Below are 22,130 nucleotides of genomic sequence, written 5' to 3' on the forward strand. Positions count from 1 at the left end.
AACAATTAGCCTAGAGCACGTAATAGAAATCAGAAGCATTTGATTTCAGACTGTCTGTATATCGCCTGTTTGTAAAAGTTCTGATTCGGTTGTAGGCTGTCATAACATAAACTACCTTTCAAGGTTCATTACATGCCACCCACAACTCTCTCCCTCACACAGCCAAAATGCACAACTTTCAGTTCCTGAAATCCTTTTGATTTTTTCGCCATCTCAAGCTTTCGCATATGCGATCTACCTGTTACATTTTTGTCTTCCTCAGAGTAACTTCAAATCATCTCCTCTAACATAGGACTACATAAAGTCCCCTTATTGTCTGCTCTCAGAACATCTGTATCTCTCATCACCACTCTCACTCACTCTTTGCTGTAATTAGTTTTTTAACCAGTTCTTCCCATTAGTCTTAGCTGCAAGAGGGCATTTGCAGTGCCTAAAGATAATATTCTTAAGACTAAACAGGGGCTTAAGAATCTGGCCACAAATCAACTCTCCAACTACCCTGTTTATAATCCTCACAACTCACCCTGTTTCAATGCCATGCTTCTTCACAGGCTGGCTTCCCTTCCTGGAATGTTAATCATTGCAGGAATCCCAGCTGATTATACAGTCGCCTTTCAGGCCAGAACCCAATAAAAAATCAAGAAAGGATCGCCCGTTCTATTACTGCGCTGCTCCCTCCCCTCGTAGATTTCACAAATATACTTCTCACCACAAGCTTGTCTGTTCCAAGAGAATGCTAGCTCTTCTAAAGAAGGAGCCCTTTGTTTTCCTTGCCCTTGTCCAGTTCCTCTGCATACCTCTAGCACCTAGAGCAACAACTGCTATACAGGAGCCCAGATGTGGAACAGAGCAAAGAACTGAGTGTTGATTTAATGTTGCCTGAAGTCCTTAACAGCACCTTCAACCTAAACTTAACTGTGTTTTTAATCCCCTACACGTGTAATCCCTGTATGTGTGCGCAGCGTTAAAAGGATTATTGTAGCTCAAAAATTCTCCAATGAAAGAACCTCTACCAGAAAGGAGTTGCTCATCTTTCGTTCTTGAAAAGTTGGCTGCACGATACAAGTAAGAAAAGTTTTAGTTAGGCAAGACAACTTATACATAAAAGACAATTATAGGGAACATTACCTAACTTAGCACAGGGCCTCGAATGTATTCCGAAATTAAATCAGCATGTAGAAAGCAAGCCTCCTCATGCTTTTTAAAGTGTAATCTCGCGACCTCGCGGCGCGCTCTGGGAAGACCGATTCATCTCTTCCCCTCGCCCTCTTTCCCCGGCCGGCGCACAGCCGGCCCGTGGCGCTCGGCACCGCGTCTCCACGTCCAGCGCGGGGCAGGCCTGCGCGGCGCTTGCAAGGGACAAGCCGCGGAGCCGGGGAGGCTCGCCGTCTGGGACACGTTTGGAGAAGCGAGCGGTACAGTCCATTCCACGGCGACATTTTAGGATTCTCCCACTGACAACACTAAACTGAAGCGCTAAGACCAACCCTTACGACCACTTACCGTCGCAGGCCACGGTGGTGACTTCCTTTTCCGCTCCCCTACACACGCTTTTCCGTTTTGCGTGCCTTTGTTTCCGCTCCCCCCGGGACCATCGTGCGCCCCTGTCCTCCGTTCTTGTAGGTCCTCTCCTCTTCTCCGCGTCTTCTCTTTTACTATCCCACGCTCTCCTTTCCTTTCTCCGGGAACTTTATCCCGTTCCCCTGCCGGTTCCCGTGACCCCGGAAATCCCGCTCCTGCCGCGAGGCGCCCTCCGCTTCGCGCTCCCTCGTGTCACGAGGGAGCCAGGGTGGGCGGTCTCCTATTGTACTTGGCTTTTGAATTTTCGCTTTTGCAGCACAAAGGTAGGGCTGGGAAAGGAGGCTGCCGAACCGTGCTTGTTTTCGCTCAGATAAACGTGAGAAAAAGTGGAGGTGAGGAAGCCAGTGTAGGCAAATAGCGAGAGGGGAGAAGACAGAAAGGTACCGAAGGTCGACCTTTTTTAGGTATCTTATCCAAGTTATTGAGGGGAATGGGTATTTAGCCAGTTTTTTGTTTGTTTGTTTTTATCCGAATATCCAGTGTGTGTCTTGAATGTGTGAATGTGACGTGTTTATAAAGCTCAGTAAGCTTAAAATTCCGTGCCAATACATTTTGTATGCCGCAGACAGGAAGTGCTTTGGAAGACCCTTGAAAGGGGAGGTGATTTTACACCAATATTGAGATCATTTTGTCAGAGTCGTGGGACTAAAGGTAGACCTTAGGTAGTCGATGTCAAAGATAAGCGCAGCTGGACGTTAAAGCGGTGAAAACATTCAGTTAACTACTGACAGGAAAGAGCTGAGCTCTATTTCGATTCGTGCAGAGATCATCTGGGCATTTTTAAAGGGACGTTTTAAAAGGAGAAAGGGGATATGCGGGCGCTCAGTAGAGAAAGTGAACCTACAGAGTTGTTAGTGTAAATGTGATTAGGCCAGCTGTGTGTTTGTGTGTGCGCGCGTTTTAACAGTTACCGCAGGATTCTATCCTCCTACGGAGGATTTTATCCTTCTCGATTACATTTCAAAGGAATGACTCTCTGGTCCTTGAGAGAGAACTTCTGAGTGGCAAGAAATAAGTCTTTACAATTGCAAGCCCTTTAGTAAACGTTCTAAGAAAGGGATGTCAGAGACCTATCATCAGTTGTGTGCTGGTTACATCACGTAGTTAAGCTTTCTGAGGCAGTCGCCCTGGGCACAGGGCCTTATGCTGCTAAAGCTTGCTAGAGTTTGGTCAAGTCTCTGAACGCAGGGGTTTAGATGGGATGGTCATGTTCCTGGAGTTCTGCAGTGGTCATAGGTATGATTTGAATAAGTACAGGGAATATTCTAGTCGGAGGAACAGAATGTGCCAACGCGCCGAACAGGGAGGATAGTTTTACGATACGGAGATGTGTATGATAGGGAATAAGTGGGAGCCCAGTTTGGACTAATTGGAAGAAGTCATTATTAGAAGTACTGTATTTAATTCTAGTTTGTTATAAAATGAGACTCCAAGATCACTGAGCCATTTCACTGAGACTCCAAGATCACCCCAATGCTAGGCTAATCTCCATGGCGCCTAGATCTATGCCCACTCCATTCCCCATGTTGGTCCCCATAGTTTCAGGCACCAGGCTCCAACACCAGGTTGGGCCCTACAGCCCCAGTCTCCAGGTTGGCACCAGTGGATATAGGCTTTAGGTCCACTGACTGCTGGTCCCTACAGCCCCAGGTTCCAGTGAACCCAGGTTCCAGGCCTGCTCCAACAAACCCAAGGTCCAGGTCTACCCCAGTAGACCCTGGCACCAGAACTACCCCAGAGGGCCTAGCCTACAGGCTACCACCCACAAACCCAGCCTCCATGATGGCCTCTGAAGAATCAGGCTTTAGGTCTTCCCCAGCACCAGACTAGACTGCTAGACTGATGTTCCACTTTTGTCCCCATGGACCCAGGCACCAGGCCCATCTGAGAGGTTTCTTCAGTTTTATTTTTCAGTAATAACTTTCATTCTTCTTTCTCAGTGATAACTGTAGTACTCAGTGGGCTTTCTATTTCTGGCTCCCATTTTCCATCTTTCTTTTTAACACTTTGGGAAAATATCCAAGTTAAACTCTATATAGTGGGGTAGGTGGACAATGAAAGATAAGTAAATACATAATATGTATAATCAACGGAGTGAAAAGACAGCCTGCAGAATGGGAGAAAATATTTGCAAACTATATATCTGACAAAGGGTTAATATCCAGAGTATATGAAGAAGTCAACTCAATAGCCAAAAAAAAAAAAAAAAAAATCCAATTTAAAAATGAGCAAAAGGCCTGAATGGACATTTCTCAAAAGAAAACATGATGATGACTAACAAATATATGAAAAAATGCTCAGCCAGGCACAGTGACTCACACCTGTAATCCCACACCTTGGGAGGCCAAGCAGGTGGATTGCTTGAGCCCAGAAGTTCAAGACCAGCCATGGGCAACATGGCAGAACCCTGTCTCTACAAAAAATCACAATTGGCTGGGCAATGTGGCATACACCTATAGTCCTAGCTACTCAGGAGCCTGAGGTGGGAGGATCACTGGAGCCCAGGAGCTTGAGGCTGCAGTGAGCCATGATCACACCACTGCATTCCAGCCAGGGTGACAGAGCAAGACTCTCAAAAACAAATACATACATTTTTAAAAAATTAAAAATAAATAAAAATAATCATAGGGGAAATGCAAATCAAAACCACAATGAGATATCACCTCATACCTGTTAGAATGGCTATTATCAAAAAGACAAAAAATAACATGCCCATGCATATGTGGAGAGAAATACTTATACACTGTTGGTAAGAATGTAAATTACTGGCCAGATGCAGTGGCTCACGCCTGTAATCCCAGCACTTTGGGAGGCTGAGGTGGGCGGATCCCGAGGTCAGGAGGTCAAGACCATCCTGGCCCACATGCTGAAACCCCTTATCTACTAAAAATACAAAAAAATTAGCCAGGCATGGCAGCACATGCCTGTAGTCCCAGCTAAACCTGGGAGGCAGAGGCTGCAGTGAGCCGAGATCACACCACTGCACTCCAGCCTGGGTGACACAGCGAGACTCCGTCTCAAAAAAATAATAAATAAACAAAAGAATTTGAATTACTCTAGCCATTATAGAAAACAGTATAGAGGTTCCTCAAAAAATTAAAAACAAAACTGCCATATGATCCCACAATCCCACGCCTGGGTATATATCTGAAGGAAGTAAAATCAGTATGTTGCAGAGATATCTGCACTCTCATGTTTATTGCAGCACTGTTCATAAGAGCCGAGATATGGAATCAACCTAAGTGTCCATCAGTGGATGAGCGGATAAAGAAAATGTGGTATATACATACAATGGAATACTATTCAGCCATTAAAAGGAATGAAATCCTGTCATTTGTGGCAACATAGATGGACCTGGAGAACATTAAGTGAAATAAGCCAGGCACAGAAAGACAAATATCACATGATCTCATGCAGGTGTAGAATCCAAAGAAGTTGATCTCATAGAAGTGGGAAATAAAATGGTGGTTATCAGAGGCTGAGAAGAGATTAATCAGTGGGTACAAAGTTACAGTTAGGAGGAATAAATTCTGGCGGTCTATTGCACAGTAGGATGACTGTGGTTAACAACATTGTTTCAAAATGGCTAGAAAAGATTTTGGTTGTTCTCACTACAAAGAAATGGTAAATACATGAGGTGATGGTTTTGCTAAATAACATTAAAATATCACCATATCCCATAAATAAGTAAAATTGTTATGTGTCAAAAATGAAACAAAAATATATAATGTTGGGGGGTATTAAGTGCTATGATGACAAGTAAAGCAAGTTTGGCATAATTTTGGGAGTTGGCATATTAGGTTAAGGTAAAGCCAGTTACTTTTGTTATGTTTATGAATTCCTAGGCCTCTTGACAAACACTGAGGTTCTCAAACATTGGCAAACACAAGTCACATTAGGTAAACATACAAATTCTTGGCCTTAGTTCCATATATTTTATTCTGAACAAATAGCCCTTAAGTCAAAATTGAGAAACAATGATTAGTAATAAGTTTTTACACTTCAAGTATTTCCTCATTCTGAACAAAGGATGTCGACATGTATTTACACACTTGAATGTTTCAACACTACCGTGTGATGTGATTTTACTTTTTTTTTTTTATATATTTCAGCTTTGAGTATCATGTATTCTATTTTCAATCTGTTGTTTGTGGCCTAGACTCAATGCAATAAGTTTTTAAGGGGTTTTCTCTCTGAAGCACAAAATACCTTTTTACTCTAAAAAGCGGGGATGGGAAGAAGATAAACCAGACTCAGATATTATGATTTTCTTCACTTGTCCCTGGTATGAGTTTTATGAAAACATTTGTAACCCAATCACAGCTATCTTTCCCCTGAAACAACACGTGCTTTAGACTGAATTGGTTATAGTTCTAGGTATGAGAAAGAAATATCAAAATGTTATACCACAATGTATATCATTTATTGTTGCATTATATTCTATCATGATAATTTTTATTAATGTAAGCTTATTGAGTTCAAATGCCTTGTTAGCCTTATTTTTCCTCCTTCCCATCCTTTCTTTTTTTCCTCCTCGGTTCTTTCCTCTCTTTATTTCTTTTGAGAATGTAGTTAAATTTTTTTCTTAAAAAATGCCATAGAAAAAAATACTAGAATGAATATCTCATGCTGTTAATAGTTATCAGTAGTAACTTGGGGGAATGTAGTGTTTGTTTTGTTAGTTAAATATACTTGGTTTTCAGATTTCTCAAAATGAATGAGAACACTTAATAACATGGTAAAATGTTGAAACTATAGTATTACTTTCAAAAAGGCTATCTAGAATGGAAGAAGGGTGATGTCAGAAAGATGGCAGTATAGCACTTCCCAGTACTTGTCCCTTCACAGAAACATCTATTTGAACCACTATCCTTTTTTTTTTTTGAGACAGAGTCTTGCTCTTGTTGCCCAGGCTGGAGTGCAATGGCGCAATCTTGGCTCACTGCAACCTCCGCCTCCTGGGTTCAAGCAACTCTGCCTCAGCCTCTTGAGTAGCTGGAATCACAGGCACACGCTACCACGCCGGCCAATTTTTGTACTTTTAGTAGAAACGGGGTTTTGTCATGTTGGCCAAGCTTGTCTTGAACTCCTGGCCTCAGGTGATCCACGTGCCTCAGCCTCCCAAAGTGCTGGGATTACAAGCGTGAGCCACCACGCCCGGCCTGAACCACTATCCTTTTATGAAGACACCTTCACATGAACTGAGGAATCCAGATGAGAAATTATAGCACCTAGATGTAGCAGAGAATTAAGAAAAGACACATTGAAGATAGTAGGAAAGAGTCAATCCTTTCCCAAGCCTGGGTAGCACAGAGCTGAGACTTATGGTCCGTGTGAGGAAAGGAGAGTGAGGTAAGTGCCAGCTTTGCTGCAGACTCCAGCACCAGGCCTGCCACAGTGAAACTTGGCACCAGGCTGACTACCATGGCCCTAGACTCTAGGCTGATACCCATGCACTGAGACTACAAGATCACCCCAATGCTAGGCTAATCTCCATGGCGCCTAGATCTATGCCCACTCCATTCCCCATGTTAGTCCCCATAGTTTCAGGCACCAGGCTCCAACACCAGGTTGGGCCCTACAGCCCCAGTCTCCAGGTTGGCACCAGTGGATATAGGCTTTAGGTCCACTGACTGCTGGTCCCTACAGCCCCAGGTTCCAGTGAACCCAGGTTCCAGGCCTGCTCCAACAAACCCAAGGTCCAGGTCTACCCCAGTAGACCCTGGCACCAGAACTACCCCAGAGGGCCTAGCCTACAAGCTACCACCCACAAACCCAGCCTCCATGATGGCCTCTGAAGAATCAGGCTTTAGGTCTTCCCCAGCACCAGACTAGACTGCTAGACTGATGTTCCACTTTTGTCCCCATGGACCCAGGCACCAGGCCCATCTCAGTACTAGGCAGGCCCCTGTCCTGTGAACACAGGCTCCAAGCCAGACCCTGTGGACCTAGATGCCTAGCACACCCACCTACCTATCTGGTCACCAGCCCTGTCTATCTGAGGGCACCAGCAGCAAGGCCACCCATAAAGCCCACAGATGACCTACCCAAAGTCTTGATAGGGTGATGTGAGCAGCATTCCCTGCTGAATCCAGTCTATAAAGACTGGAATGAGTGCCCGCATTTCAATAATGCAAGGAAGAGGAATAATCAGGGAAACATGATACTACCAAAGGACCAAACACCAGTAAACAACCCTAAAGAAATGAAGATCTATGAATATCCTGAAAAAGAATTTGAAATAATTCTTAGAAAAGCTCAGTGACTGCCGGGCGTGGTGGCTCACATCTGTAATCCCAGCACTTTGGGAGGCCGAGGCAGGTGTATCACAAGGTCAGGAGATCAACACCAGCCTGGCTAACACAGTGAAACCCTGTTTCTACTAAAAATACAAACAACAACAACAAAAAATTAGCCAGGCATGGTGGCACATGCCTGTAGTCCCAGCTACCTGGGAGGCTGAGGCAGGAGAATCACTTGAACCTGGAAGGCAGAGGTTGCAGTGAGCTGAGATTGCACCACTGCACTCCAGCCTGGGCAACAGAGTGAGATTCTCAGAAAAAAAAGAAAAAAAGAAGAAAAGAAAAGCTCAGTGACCTACAAGAGAGCTCAAATAGGCAGCTAAATAATATTAGGAAAACAGTAAACAGACAAAATTAGAAATTTGACAAAGAGATAGAAACCATAAAAAGAACTAGGAAAATTCCGAAGCTAAAAAACACAATGACTGAACTGAAAAATTCCACAGAGAGCTCCAACAACAAAATCAAGCAGAAGAAAGTATCCGTTAACCTAAAAATAGGTCATTTAAAATTGCCCAGTAAGAGGAGAAAAAAGAAAAGAAAAAGAATAAAAAAGAGTAAAGAATATCTGTAAGACTTAAGGGTCACCATCAAGTGAACTAATTAATGCACTATGGAAGCTCCAGAAGGGGCAGAGAAAGGGAAAGGGGCAGAAAAACATAATGACAGAAAGCTTTCCAAATCTGAAGAGGGAACTAAACATCCAGACCCATGAAAGCCAAAAAATCCTAAATAGATTAAATACAAAGAGATCTTCACCAAGACACACTGAAATTAAATTTTCTAAAGTCAAAGACAAAGAAATGCAAAAGCTGCAAGAGAAGAGCAACTTCTATAAGGCTATTAACAGATTTCTCAGCAGAGACCTCGCAGGCCAAGAGAGAATGGCCTGCAAGGTGCTGAAAGAAATAAACTGCCAATGAGGACTACTATACCTGGCAAGGCTGTCCTTCAGAAATGAAGGACAAATAGGGAGTTTCCCAGACATAACAAAAGGTATTCTTACCCATAGACCTGCCTTACATGAAATGCTAAAGGGTGTTCTTCAGGTTGAAAGGGCCCTAAAAAACAATATGAAAACACAGGAAAGTATAAAACTCAGTGTAAAAGTAAGAACATAGTTAAATTCAGAATACTCTAATTCTATAACAGTGATGCATAAGTCACTTTTAACTCTAGTGTAAAATTAAAAGAAAAGTAATTATAATAATTTGTTCATGGAAACACAATATATAAAAGTTGTAAATTGTGACACCAATAGCATAAGATGTAGGAGAAGTTAAAGTGTATACTTTTGTATGCAGAAAAAGTTAAATTGTTCGAGCTTAAAATAGACTTATAACTATGATCTTTCGTGTAAGTCTCATGATAACTCCAAAGTAAAAAACTGTAATAGATACACAAAATATGAAGAAAAAGAAAAGCAGTCTACCATATAAAAAAAATAAATAAATTATATAGGAAGGGCCAGGTGCGGTGGCTCAACGCCTGTAATCTCAGCACTTTGGGAGGCCGAGGCGGGTGGATCACCTGAGATCAGGAGTTCGAGACCAACCTGGCCCACATGGTGAAACCCCACCTTTACTAAAACTACAAAAATTAGCCAGGCATGGTGTCATGTGCTTGTAATCCTAGCTATTCAGGAGGCTGAGTCAGGAGAACTGCTTGAACCCAGGAGGTAGGGATTGCAGTGAGCCAAGATCCCACCACTGCACTCCAGCCTGGGCGAAAGAGTGAGACTCCATCCCCCTCCCCACCCCCCAAAAAAAATCACATAGGAAGACATCAAGAGAGGAAGAATGGAATAAATAAATTACAAAACAGTCAAAAAGAAAATAGTAATTCCTTACCTATCAATAATTACTTTAAATGTAAATTAAGTTCTCCAATCAAAAATAGAGTGGTTGAATGGATGCAAAAACAAATAAAATTCAACTATATACTCAGTCTTTAAGAGTCTCATTTTAGCTTTAAGGACACACAGAGTCTGAAAATAAAGAGATGAAAAAAACATTCTGTGTAATCAGTAACCAAAAGACAACAGGGATGCTAAACTTATGTCAGACTGTGTGTGTGTGTGTGTGTGTGTGTGTGTGTGTGTGTGTGTGTATATATATATATATATATATATATATTTTTTTTTTTTTTTTTTTTTTTTTTGAGATGGAGTCTCCCTCTGTCGCCCAGGCTGGAGTGCAGTGGCGCAGTCTCGGTTCACTGCAAGCTCCGCCTCCCGGGTTCACACCATTCTCCTGCCTCAGCCTCCCGAGTAGCTGGGACTACAGGCGCCTGCCACCACGCCAGGCTAATTTTTTGTATTTTTAGTAGAGACGGGTTTTCATCGTGTTAACCAGGATGGTCTCGATCTCCTGACCTCGTGATCCGCCCGCCTCGGCCTCCCAAAGTGCTGGGATTACAGGCATGAGCCACTGTGCCGGCCTTTTTTTTTTTTGAGACAGTTTCACTCTTCCGTCCAGGCTGGAGTGAAGTGGTGTGATCTTGGTTCACTGCAACCTCCGCCTCCCAAATTCAAGTGATTCTCCTGCCTAAGCCTTCCAAGTTAGCTGGGATTACAGTTGTCTGCCACCACACCTGGCTAATTTTTGTATTTTTAGTAGATACGGGGTTTCGCCATGTTGGCCAGGCTGGTCTCAAACTCCTGACCTCAGGTGATCCACCCACCTCGGCCTCCCAAAGTGCTGGGATTACAGGCGTGAGCCCCGGTGCCCAGCCATGTCAAGTAACTTTTTCAAACACAGTGATATAAAACTAGAAATCAGTAATGAGGCAAATTGGAAAATTTGCAAATATATGAAACTTAAACAAGACACTACTGATGGGTTACAAAAGAAATTTTACAGTAGAAAAAATAATATTGAGACAAAGTAAAATGAAAAAAAAATTTATGGGATACAACAAACATAGTTCTAAGAGGGGAGTTTATAGAGACAAATGAATGCCTATATTAAGAAAAGAGGAAGATCTCGAACAACCTATCTTGACACCACGGGGAACTAGAAAAAGAAGAAGCTAAGCCTAAAGTTACAGAAAAAAGGAAATAATAAAGATCAGAGCAGAAATAAAGGAAATGGAGATGATAAAAATAACAGAAAAAAATCTAAGAAACAATTGGTTTTTTGAAAAGATAAACAAAAATTGACAAACCTTTAGCTAAACTATGAAAAAAATGAGAGAAGACTCAGAATTATAAATGAAAGAAAGCATTATAACGGACATAGAAATATAAAGGATCCTAAGAGACTATTATAAACAATTATACAACAATATATTGGGTAACCTAGAAGAAATAGATAAATTTCTAGAAATACACAATCTACCAAGATTAAATCATGAAGAAAGAGAACATTTGAACAGAACAATAATGAAGGTTAAATTTATAATCAAAAAGCTACCAACAGAAAAATCCGGGACAAAATGGCTTCAGTGATTCTACCAAACACTTAAAGAAGAATTAATGCTAATTGCTCTTACTCTGTCAGAAAATTAAAGAGAAGACAAGACTTCCAAACTCATTTTATGAGGCCAGCATTACTTTGATAAAAAAGCCAGGGAAGGAAAAAAAGTATAAGCCAATATACCTGATACTGTCTCAACAAATTAGGTATGGAAGGTGTCTTGGTTTGTTTTCTCTTGCTTATAACAGAAACTGAAACTGGGTAATTTATGAAGAAAAGAAATTTATTTCTCACAGTTATGGAGGCTGAGAAGTCCAAGGTCAGGGTGGTCTATCTGGTGAGTGCCTTCTTGCTGATAGGAACTCTGTAGAGTCATTAACCAACATAGAACATCGCATGGTGAGGAGCTGAAGATGCTAGCTCAGATCTCTCTTCCTTTTTTTATGAAGCCACCAGTCTTACTCCCATGAAAATCCGTTAACCCATTAATTGATAAATGAATTAGTCTATTCATGAGGGCTCTGCCCCACCACTCAGTACTGCCACAGTGAGGTTAAATTTCACCATGAGGGCCTGGGCGGGGTGGCTCACGCCTGTAATCCCAGCACTTTGGGAGGCTGAGGCAGGTGGATCACGAAGTCAGGAGATCGAGACCATCCTGGCTAGCACGGTGAAACCCCGTCTCTACTAAAAATACAAAAAATTAGCCAGGCATGGTGGCAGGTGCCTGTAGTCCCAGCTACTTGGGAGGCTGAGCCAGAAAAATGGTGTGAACCTGGGAGATGGAGTTTACAGTGAGCCGAGATCACGCCACTGCACTCCAGCCTGGGTGACAGAGCGAGACTCCATCTCAAAATAAAATAAAATAAAATTTCACCATGAGTTTTGGAGGGAAAAAATATTCAAACCATAGCAGAAGGAGTGTATTTCAACATAATGAAGACCACATGTGACAAGTTCACAGCTAATATGTCGTATTAAACAGTGAAAAACTGATAGTTTTTCTTCTAAGTTCAGGAACAAGATAAGGATGTCCACTCTTGCCCCTTCTATTCAATATAATACAGGAAGTCCTAGCCACAGCAATTATGGGGGGAAAAAAGACAAGCAGATTGGAAAAGAAGTAGAGAAATTGTCTGTTTGCAGATAACATAATCTTGTATATAGAAAACCCTAACAACTCCACCAAATAACTCTTAGAACTAACACACAGATTCAATTAAGTTACAGAATAAAAATCAACATGCAAAAATCAGTTCTTTTTTTTTTTTTTTTTTTTTTTTGAGACGGGGTCTCACTCTGTTGCCAGGCTGGAGTGCAGCAGTGCGATCTCAGCTCACTGCAACCTCCCTCCTGGGTTCAAGCAATTCTCCTGCCTCAGCCTCCTGAGTAGCTGGGACTACAGGTGTGTGCCACCATGCCTGGCTAATTTTTTGTATTTTTTAGTAGAGACAGGGTTTCACTATGTTAGCCAGGATGGTCTCGATCTCCTGATCTTGTGATCCACCCACCTTGGCCTCCCAAAGTGCTGGGATCTTAGGCGTGAGCCACTGCACCTGGCCAATCAGTTGCATTTTTATTCACTAACAATGAGCTATCAATAAAAAGAAATTAACAACACAATCCCATTTGCAATAGCATCAGAAAGAATCAAATACTTAGGAATAAGTTTAACCAAGGAAATGAAATATCTGTACACTGAAAATGATAAAACATTGATGGATGCTGTTGAACAAGACACATGTAAATGGAAACATATTTCACTTTCATGGATTGGAGATATTAATATTGTTAAAATGTTCATACTACTCAGAGTAATCAGGAGATTCAATACAATTCATATCAAAATTCCAATGGCATTTTTTCACAGAAATAGGAAAAACAATCCTAAAATTTGTATGGAACCACGAAAGCCTCAAATAGCCAAAGCAATCATAGGCAAAAAGGAATAAAGCAAGAGGCATCACACTACTTTATTTCAAAATGTACTAAAAAGCTAACATAATCAAAACAGCATGGCGCTGATATAAAAATGCACATGTAAACCAGTACAACAGAATTGAGAGCCCAGAAATGAATCTACACATTTTTGGTCAATTGATCTTTGACAAAGATACCAAGAAGACACAATGGGAAAAGGGCACTCTCTTTAATAAATGGTGTTGGGACAACTAGATAATCACATACAGAAAATAAAATTGGACCCTTATCTCATACCATAACCAAAAATCAAATTAAAATGGATTAAATACTTAAATGTAAGACATGAAACTGTAAAACTAAGAGAAAAAAAAACAGAAAAAGAAAAAAGGCTTCTTGATATGGGTCTGGGTTGTGGTTTTTAAAAAATATAACCCCAAAGGACAGGCAACAAAAGCAAAAGTAGACAAATGGGACTGCATCAAAATAAAAAGCATCTATCTGCACAACAAAGGCTCAATAGAGTGAATAGACCAGCTATGGAATGGGAGACAATATTTGCAAACCATACTTCTTATAAGGAGTAAATATTCTAGTTTATAAGGAAATCGAGCCCCTGACTGCCACCACCGCTGCCGCCCAGAGACTGCTGAGCCCTTGTTGGTCTGCCATCACCACCCACTCCAGAAACAGAACATCCAGTCATGGATAAAAATGAGCTGGTTCAGAAGGCCGAACTGGCCCAGTAGGCTGAGAGATATGATGACATCGCAGCCTGCATGAAATCTGTAACTGAGCAAGGAGCTGAAATTATCCAATGAGGAGAGGAAACTTCTCTCAGTTGCTTCTAAAAATGTAGGCGCCTATAGGTCATTTTGGAGTGTTGTCTCAAGTATTGAACAAAAGACGGAAGGTGCTGAGAAAAAACAGCAGATGGCTCGAGAATACAGAGAGAAAATTCAGACAGAGCTAAGAGATATCTGCAATGATGTACTGTCTCTTTTGGAAAAGTTCTTGATCCCCAGTGCTTCACAAGCAGAGAGCAAAGTCTTCTATTTGAAAATGAAAGGAGATTACTACCGTTACTTGGCTGAGGTCGTTGCTGGTGATGACAAGAAAGGGATTGTGGATCAGTCACAACAAGCATACCAAGAAGCTTTTGAAATCAGCAAAAAGGAAATGCAACCAACACATGCTATCAGACTGGATTTACTCCTCTGAACTCCCCAGGGAAAGCCTGCCCTTGGCCAGGACCAGTGGCTCACGCCTGTAATCCCAGCACTTTGGGAGGCCGAGGCAGGTGGATCACGAAGTCAGGAGTTTGAGACCATCCTGGCCAACCTGGTGAAACCCCGTCTCTACTAAAAATACAAAAATTAGTGGGGCGTGTTGGTGGGCACCTGTAATCCCAGCTACTTGGGAGGCTGAGGCAGGAGAATTGTTTGAACCCGGGAGGTGGAGGATGCAGTGAGCCAAGATCATGCCATTGCACTCCAGCCTGGGTGACAGGGCAAGACTCCATCTGAAAGGACGGAAGGAAGGGAGGGAGGGAGGGAGGCAAGCCTGTTCTCTTGCAAAGACAGCTTTTGATGAAGCCATTGCTGAACTTGATATATTAAGTGAAGAGTCATACAAAGACAACACGCTAATAATGCAGTTACTGACAGACAACTTGACATTGTGGACATCGGATACCCAAGGAGACAAAGCTGAAGCAGGAGAAGGAGGTGAAAATTAACCCGCCTTCCAACTTTTATCTGCCTCATTTTAAAATTTACATAGTAGACCATTTGTCATCTATGCTGTCCCACAGATAGTTTTTTGTTTACAATTTATGAGAGGTTTATGTTACTTCTATTTGAATTTCTATATTTCCCATGTGGTTTTTATGTTTAATATTAGGGGAGTAGAGCCAGTTAACATTTAGGGAGTTACCTGTTTTCATCTCGAGGTGGACACTATGGGGATGTGGAATTTTTATACAAGTTATAAATGTTTGGCATAGTACTTTTAGTACATTGTGGCTTCACAGGGGCCAGTGTTAAAACTGCTTCCATGTCTAAGCAGAGAAAACTGCGTACATATTGGTTTGTCCTAGTGGGGAATAAAAGAGATCATTGGTTCCAGTTACAGGTGTAGTAATTGTGGGTACGTTAAGGTTTGGAGCACTTACAAGGCTGTGGTAGAAACAGATATCCCATGGATACCACGTGTTAAACCATGTATAGCTGTGGAATACTCAATCTCAATGTGCACACCTTTGACTACGGCTGCAGAAGTGTTCCTTTAGACAAAGTTGTGACCCATTTTACTCTGAATAAGGGCAGAAACGGTTCACATTTCATTATTTGTAAAGTTACCTGCTGTTAGCTTTCATCATTTTTATTACACTCATTTTATTTGTATTTAAATGTTTTAGGCAACCTAAGAACAAATGTAAAAGTAAAGATGCAGGAAAAACGAATTGCTTGGTGTTCATTACTACATGTATATCAAGCACAGCAGTAAAACAACAACAACAAAAAAAAAACATGTATTTAACTTTTTTTAGGTTTTTTTGCTTTTGTGGTTTTTCTTGATACTTGCCTAACATGCGTGTGCTGTAAAAATAGTTAACAGGGAAATAACTTGAGATGATGGCTAGCTTTGTTTAATGTCTTATGAAATTTTCAAGAACAGTCCAAGCACAATTGTTAAGAACATGTGTATTAAATTCATGTCAGTGGAATAAAAGTTTTATGAATGCACTTTTCAACTACTTTCTCTACAGCTTTTCATGTAAATTAGTCTTTTGGTTCTGAAACTTCTCTAAAGGAAATTGTATATTTTTTGAAATTTATTCCTTATTCCTTCTTGGCAGCTAATGGGCTTTTGTCAAGTTTAAACACGAAGTTTATCATAATAACAAAAATTCTACTAATATAACTACTGTTTCCAACCATGTCCCATTATCCCGTCTCCTCCTTCCCACCCTGAAAAAAATGAGTTCCTGTTTTTACTGGGAGAGGGGGAGATTGATTGGGAAAAAAAAGTAATATGTTCCGTTTAAATTTTGGTATATGGCATTTTCTAACTTAGGAAGGCACAATGTTCTTGGCCCATCATGACATGGGGTAGCATTATCTATAAGTTTTGTGCTTCCAATCACTTTTTGGTTTTTAAGAATTTCTTCATACTCTTAGAGCCTGCCTTCGATTTTGTTCCTTTATTCTTTCTATTTGTCAGGTGGCACAAGATTACCTTCCTTTTTTAGCCTTCTGTCTTGTCACCAACCATTCCTACTTGGTGGCCATGTACTTGGAAAAAGGCCGCATGATCTTTCTGGCTCCACTCAATGTCTAAGACACCCTGCTTCCTTTGCTTGCATCCCACAAACTATTTCCCTCATCCTATTTACTGCAACAAATCTCTCCTTGGTTGATTAGATTGTGTTTATCTCCCTTTAAAACCTTGTGTATCCTGAATGGCCTGTCATTGTCTGTCTTTCAAATCCTTTCTCTTTCTCTTCCTCTATTCTCTAAATAATGATGGGACTAAGTTATACCCAAAGACACTTTACAAAATATTTCCTCAGTACTTTGCAGAAAACACCAAACAAAAATGCCATTTTAAAAGAGGCGTATTTTTTCTACACCTCTTTAGAATGTAAGCTTCTTTTCTCCACCTTTTTAGAATGTAAGCTTCTCAAGAGCAGGGACAATGTTTTCTGTATGTTCTATTGTGCCTTGTACAGTGTAAATGCTCAATAAATATTGATGACGGGAGGCATTGAGTCTTGATGATATGGGTGAGAAACTGAAATCCACCCCCCAAAAAAATTCTAGTATATAAGGAAATCAAATAATAGCAAGATAGCAAGTAATCTGATTTTAAAATGAGCTAAGGTCTTGAAAAGACTTTTCTCTAAAGAAAACATACAAATGGCTGACATGTATATGAAAAAATGCTCAACATTGCTAATCATCAGTGAAATGAAAATCAAAACCACAAGAATCTATCACCCCACACCTGTTAGAATGGCTATCATCAAAAACACAAAAAATAACAAGTGTTGGCAAAGATGTGGAGAAAATGAAACTCTTATACACTGTTGGTGGGAATGTAAATTAGAACAGCCATATGAAAAACAATATATGGAAGTTCATGAAAAAATTAAAAATAGAATCATCATATGATCCAGCCCTTTTTTTTTTTTTTTTTTCTGAGATGGAGTTTTGCTCTTGTTGCCCAGGCTGGAACACAATGGCACGATCTCAGCTCACTGCAGCCTCCACCTTCCCAGGTTCAAGCAATTCTCCTGCCTCAGCCTCCCGAGTAGCTGAGATTACATGCATGCACCACCACGCCTGGCTAATTTTGTATTTCTAGTAGAGATGGGGTTTCTCCATGTTGAGGCTGGTATCGAACTCCTGACCTCAGGTGATCCGCCTGCCTCAGCCTCCCAAACTGCTGGGATTACAGGTGTGAGCCACTGCGCCCCACCTGATCCAGCATTTTTACTTCTGAGTTTTAAAAAACCTATAGTATATACACAAAAGGAAATAAAATGTATTTTCTTTTTTTTTTTTTTTGACGGAGTCTCGCTCTTATCGTGCAGGCTGGAGTGCAGTGGCATGATCTCGGCTCACTGCAACCTCCGCCTCCCAGATTCAAGCGATTCTCTTGCCTCAGCTTCCCGAGTAGCTGGGACTACAGTTGCCCACCATCACGCCCAGCTAATTTTTGTACTTTTAGTAGAGACGGGGTTTCCCCATGTTGTTCAGGCTGATCTCGAGCTCCTGACCTCTGGTGATCCACCCGCCTCGGCCTCCCAAAGTGCTGGGATTACAGGCGTGAGCCACCGGACCCGGCCTTATTTTCTTTATTCAAAGGAAATAGAATCAGTATGTCAAAGAGATATCTGCACCTTCATGTGCATTGTAGCATCATTCACAATAACTAAGATATGGAATCAACCTAAATGTCCATTCAGGGATGAATGGATAAAGAAGATGTGGTATATATGTACAATAGAATAGTATTTAGGCTTAAATAATAAGAAAATCCTGTTATTTTCAACAACATGAGGGAACTTGGCAACATTATGCTAACTGAAATAATCCTGGCAGAGAAAGACAATACTGTATGATATTACTTATATGCAGAATCCAAAAAAGTTCAACTCATAGAAGCAGAGAGTAAAATAGTAGTTACCAGGGGCTACGGTGGGGATGAGGTGGAAGAAAATGTAGAGATGTTGGTCTAAAGGTACAATATTTCAATTAGGATGAATAAGTTATGGAGATCTATTGTACAGCATGGTGACCATAGTTAATAATGTATACTTGAAAATTGCTAAGAGAGTATATTTTAAATGCTGTCACCACTAAAAAAGTGATAAATATATGCAGTGCTAAATATGTTGATTACTTTGGTTTAAACATTTCACAGTGTATACATATATTAAAACATCACATTGTACACCATAAATACATACAATTTTTGTCATTATAGCTTAAGAAGCCAGAAGGAAAAAAAGACTGTCTTTGAAATGAATGAAAACAAAAACCCAACACAACAAAAAAAATATGGGATATGGCTAAAACAATGGTTAAAGGAGGAATTTATAGCTGTAAATATCTATTAAAAAAAGAAAAAAATCTCCAATCAATAATAAGACCTCCAATTTAAAGACACTGAAAACAAAACAGTCAACTAAATCTAAAGCAAGCAGAAGGAAGGAAATAAACAAGATTAGGATGTGATATGGGTTTGGGTCCATGTCCCCACCCAAATCTCATCTTAAATTGTAATCCCCACATGTCAAGAGAGGGACCTGGTGGGAGGTGATTGGATCATGGAGGTGGTTTCTCCCATGCTGTTCTTGTGATAGTTAGGGAGTTCTCACAAGATCTGATGGTTTTAAAAGTGGGAGTTTTTTCTGCACTCACCAGGTCTCTCCTGCCACCTTGTGAAGAAGGCATCTGCTTCCCCTTCACCTTTCTCCATGATCGTAAGCTTCCTAAGGCCTCCAAAGCCATGCAGAACTGTGAGTCAATTAAACTTCTTTTTGTTTATAAATTACTCAGTCTCAGGTAAATATCTTTATAGCAGTGTGAAAATTGACTACTACAGAGAATTGGTACTAGGAGTGCGGTAATGCTATAAAGATAACCTGAAAATGTTGAAGTGACTTTAGAACTGGGTAACAGGTAGAGGTTGGAATAGTTTGGAGGGCTCAGAAGAAGACAGAAAGACATGGGAAAGTTTGGAACTTCTTAGAGACTTATTAAATGGTTTTGACCAAAGTGCTGACAGTGATATAGACAATGAAGTCCAGGCTGATGTGGTTTTGTTACTGGAAAGGGGTCCTGATCCAGACCCCAAGAGAGGGTTCTTGGATCTCATGCAAGAAAGAATTCAGGGTTATTCCACAGTGCAAAGTAAAAGCACATTTATTAAGAAAGTAAAGCAGTGAAAGGACAGCTACTCCACAGACAGAGTAGGATGTTCCTGAAAGTAAGAAGAGGAATGCATCCACCCTAGGTACAATGCTTGTATATTTATAGGATAAAAATAGTGCTTGGGGAGATGTGCTCTGCTACAAGGGTTTGTGATAAAGGATTAATTTTCTTAATTACTATATTTTGCAAGAATCAATATTGTTATCTTTATAGCAAAATTGGGAATGTCCTTATTCTCCAGATATCAGGATATCTGGACACTCCCAAGTCTGGGTCTGTTTCAGTAAACATCATAAATGTGTTCCCTTAGCCATAAACATCTAGAAGCTAGGAATGTCTAATTTTCTGGAAATGTAGCCCAGCAAGTCTCAGCCTCATTTTCCCAGCCCTCACTCAAAATGGAGTCACTTTGCTCAAAAGCCTCTGACAGTTTTAGATGGAGATGAGGAACCTTTTGGGAAATGGAGCAAAGGTTACTTATGCTGTGCTTTAGCAAAGATACAGGCAGCATTTTGCCTCTGCCCTACAGATCTGTGGAACTTTGAACTTGAGAGAGATGATTTAGGGTATCTGGTGGAAGAAATTTCTAAGCAGCAAAGCATTTAAGAGGTGGCCTGGCTGATTCTGAAAGCATTCAGCTATATGCACTCACAAACACGTGGTTCAAACTTGGAACTTAGGCTGGGCGCAGTGGCTCATGCCTGTAATCCCAGCACTTTGGGAGGCCAAGGCAGGTGGATCACGAGGTCAGGAGATCGAGACCATCCTGGCTAACATGGTGAAACCTGTCTCTACTAAAATTAGCCAGGTGTGGTGGTGGGCGCCTGTAGTCCCAGCTACTCAGGAAGCTGAGGCAGGAGAACGGTGCGAACCTGGGAGGCGGAGCTTGCCGTGAGCCGAGATTGCGCCACTGCACTCCAGCCTGGGCGACAGAGCCAGACTCTGTCTCAAAAAAAAAAGAAAAAAAAAAAGTTGGAACTTATGTTTAAAAGGGAAGCAGAGGTCTCTGTTCTGCAGGATGGGGTTTATTAAAGTTGTTAACAATAAGGCCTACTTTAAGAGATACCAAGTGAAATTTAGAAGACGATGAGAGGGTAAAAATGATTATTATTCTCAGCAATGCTTGGTGATACAGGATAAAAATAAATACAACACACCCAAATACAGGATGATAGTTCATGTAACAAAAAGACGTATCATTTGTCAGATTGCTTATGTCCGTATAGAGGGGGATATGATAGTCTGCGCAGCATATGCGCACAAACTGCCAAAATATGGTGTGAATGTTGGCCTGACAAATTATGCTGCAGCATATTGTACTGGCCTGCTGCTAGCCCGCAGGCTTCTCAATAGGTTTGAAGTGGACAAGATCTATGAAAGCCAAGTGGAGAAGACTGGTGATGAATACAATGTGGAAAGCATTGATGGTCAGCCAGGTGCCTTTACCTACTATTTGGATGCAAGCCTTGCCAGAACTACCACTGGCAATCAAGTTTTTGGTGCCCTGAAGGGAACTGTGGATGAAGGCTTGTCTATCCCTCACAGTACCAAACGATTCCCTGGTTATGATTCTGAAAGCAAAGAATTTAATGCAGAAGTACACCAGAAGTACATCATGGGCCAGAAAGTTGCAGATTACATGCACTACTTAATGGAAGGAGATGAAGATCCTAACAAGAAACAGTTCTTTCAGTACGTAAAGAACAGCATAACTCCAGACATGATGGAAATATATAAGAAAACTCATGCTGCTATATGAGAAAATCCAGTCTACAAAAAGAAGTCCAAGAAAGAAGTTAAAAAGAAGAGGTAGAACTTTCCCAAAATATCCCTTGCTCAGAAGAAAGATTGGGTAGCTCAAAAGAGGGCAGACTTCCTCAGAGCTCAGGAGCAGACTGCTGAGAGCTAAACCACTTTTCTGTGAGGGTTTTTCAGATAAAGAGAATAAACTTATGGACAGAAAAAAGGGAAGCAGAGCATAAAAGTTTGGAAAACTTGCAGCCTAACTATATGGTAGAAAAGAAAAACCCATTTTCTGGGAGGAATTTAAGCAAGCTGCAGAAATTTGTATAAGTAATGAGGAGCTGAATGTTAATAGCCAAGACAATGGGGAAATGTCTCCAGGGCATGTCAGAGATCTTCACAGCAAACCCTTACATCACAGGCCCAAAGGCCTAGGAAGGAAATATGGTTTCCTGGGCTAGGCCCAGGGTCCTGCTCCTCTGCAGCCTGAGGATCTGGCACACTGTATGTCAGCCACTCCAACTCCAGCTGTGGCTAAAAGGGGTCAAGGTACAGTTCGGGGCCATTGCTTCAGAGGATGCTATCCCCAAGCTTTGGTGGCTTCCATGTGGTGTTGGGCCTGCAGGTGCACAGAAGACAAGAGCTGAGGTTTGGGAGCCTCCACCTAGATTTCAGAGGATGTATGGAAACATCTGGATGTCCAGGCAGAAGTCTGCTGCAGGGTC

At 41.3% G+C, this 22,130-nt stretch overlaps 1 protein-coding gene and 2 pseudogenes across 11 annotated transcripts in view, besides 2 other annotated features; 2 read left to right on the forward strand and 1 right to left on the reverse strand.

The window, feature by feature from the left end:
• Window positions 1-1,777, reverse strand: part of ECHDC1 (ethylmalonyl-CoA decarboxylase 1) — a 54,898-nt gene extending 53,121 nt beyond the window's left edge. For 7 of the 11 annotated variants that reach the window (NM_001105545.2, NM_001105544.2, NM_018479.4 and 4 more), the window contains exon 1: window positions 1,504-1,777. Coding sequence is in view for 3 of the 11 variants with exons in the window: in NM_001139510.2 (NP_001132982.1) it covers window positions 524-539 (16 nt within the window). In the remaining 8 variants the exon portion in view is untranslated. Of the gene's footprint in view, window positions 1-523; window positions 576-1,503 lie in introns of those variants that run through there. The other 4 variants (NM_001139510.2, XM_047419071.1, XM_047419072.1 and 1 more) reach the window with 1 other exon arrangement.
• Window positions 1,062-1,935: an enhancer, noted in NCBI's record as "H3K27ac hESC enhancer chr6:127664039-127664912 (GRCh37/hg19 assembly coordinates)". NCBI's record gives its function as "activates a minimal SCP1, AML or CMV promoter by ChIP-STARR-seq in primed H9 embryonic stem cells {active_cell/tissue: H9 hESC(primed)}" and the evidence as "EXISTENCE:reporter gene assay evidence [ECO:0000049][PMID:30033119]".
• Window positions 2,810-3,683: an enhancer, noted in NCBI's record as "H3K27ac-H3K4me1 hESC enhancer chr6:127665787-127666660 (GRCh37/hg19 assembly coordinates)". NCBI's record gives its function as "activates a minimal SCP1, AML or CMV promoter by ChIP-STARR-seq in naive H9 embryonic stem cells {active_cell/tissue: H9 hESC(naive)}" and the evidence as "EXISTENCE:reporter gene assay evidence [ECO:0000049][PMID:30033119]".
• Window positions 13,903-17,023, forward strand: YWHAZP4 (tyrosine 3-monooxygenase/tryptophan 5-monooxygenase activation protein zeta pseudogene 4; annotated as a pseudogene).
• On the forward strand, window positions 20,654-21,625 carry RPL5P18 (ribosomal protein L5 pseudogene 18; annotated as a pseudogene).

Source organism: Homo sapiens, chromosome 6, assembly GCF_000001405.40.
Source record: "Homo sapiens chromosome 6, GRCh38.p14 Primary Assembly".
Classification (NCBI taxonomy): domain Eukaryota; kingdom Metazoa; phylum Chordata; class Mammalia; order Primates; family Hominidae; genus Homo; species Homo sapiens.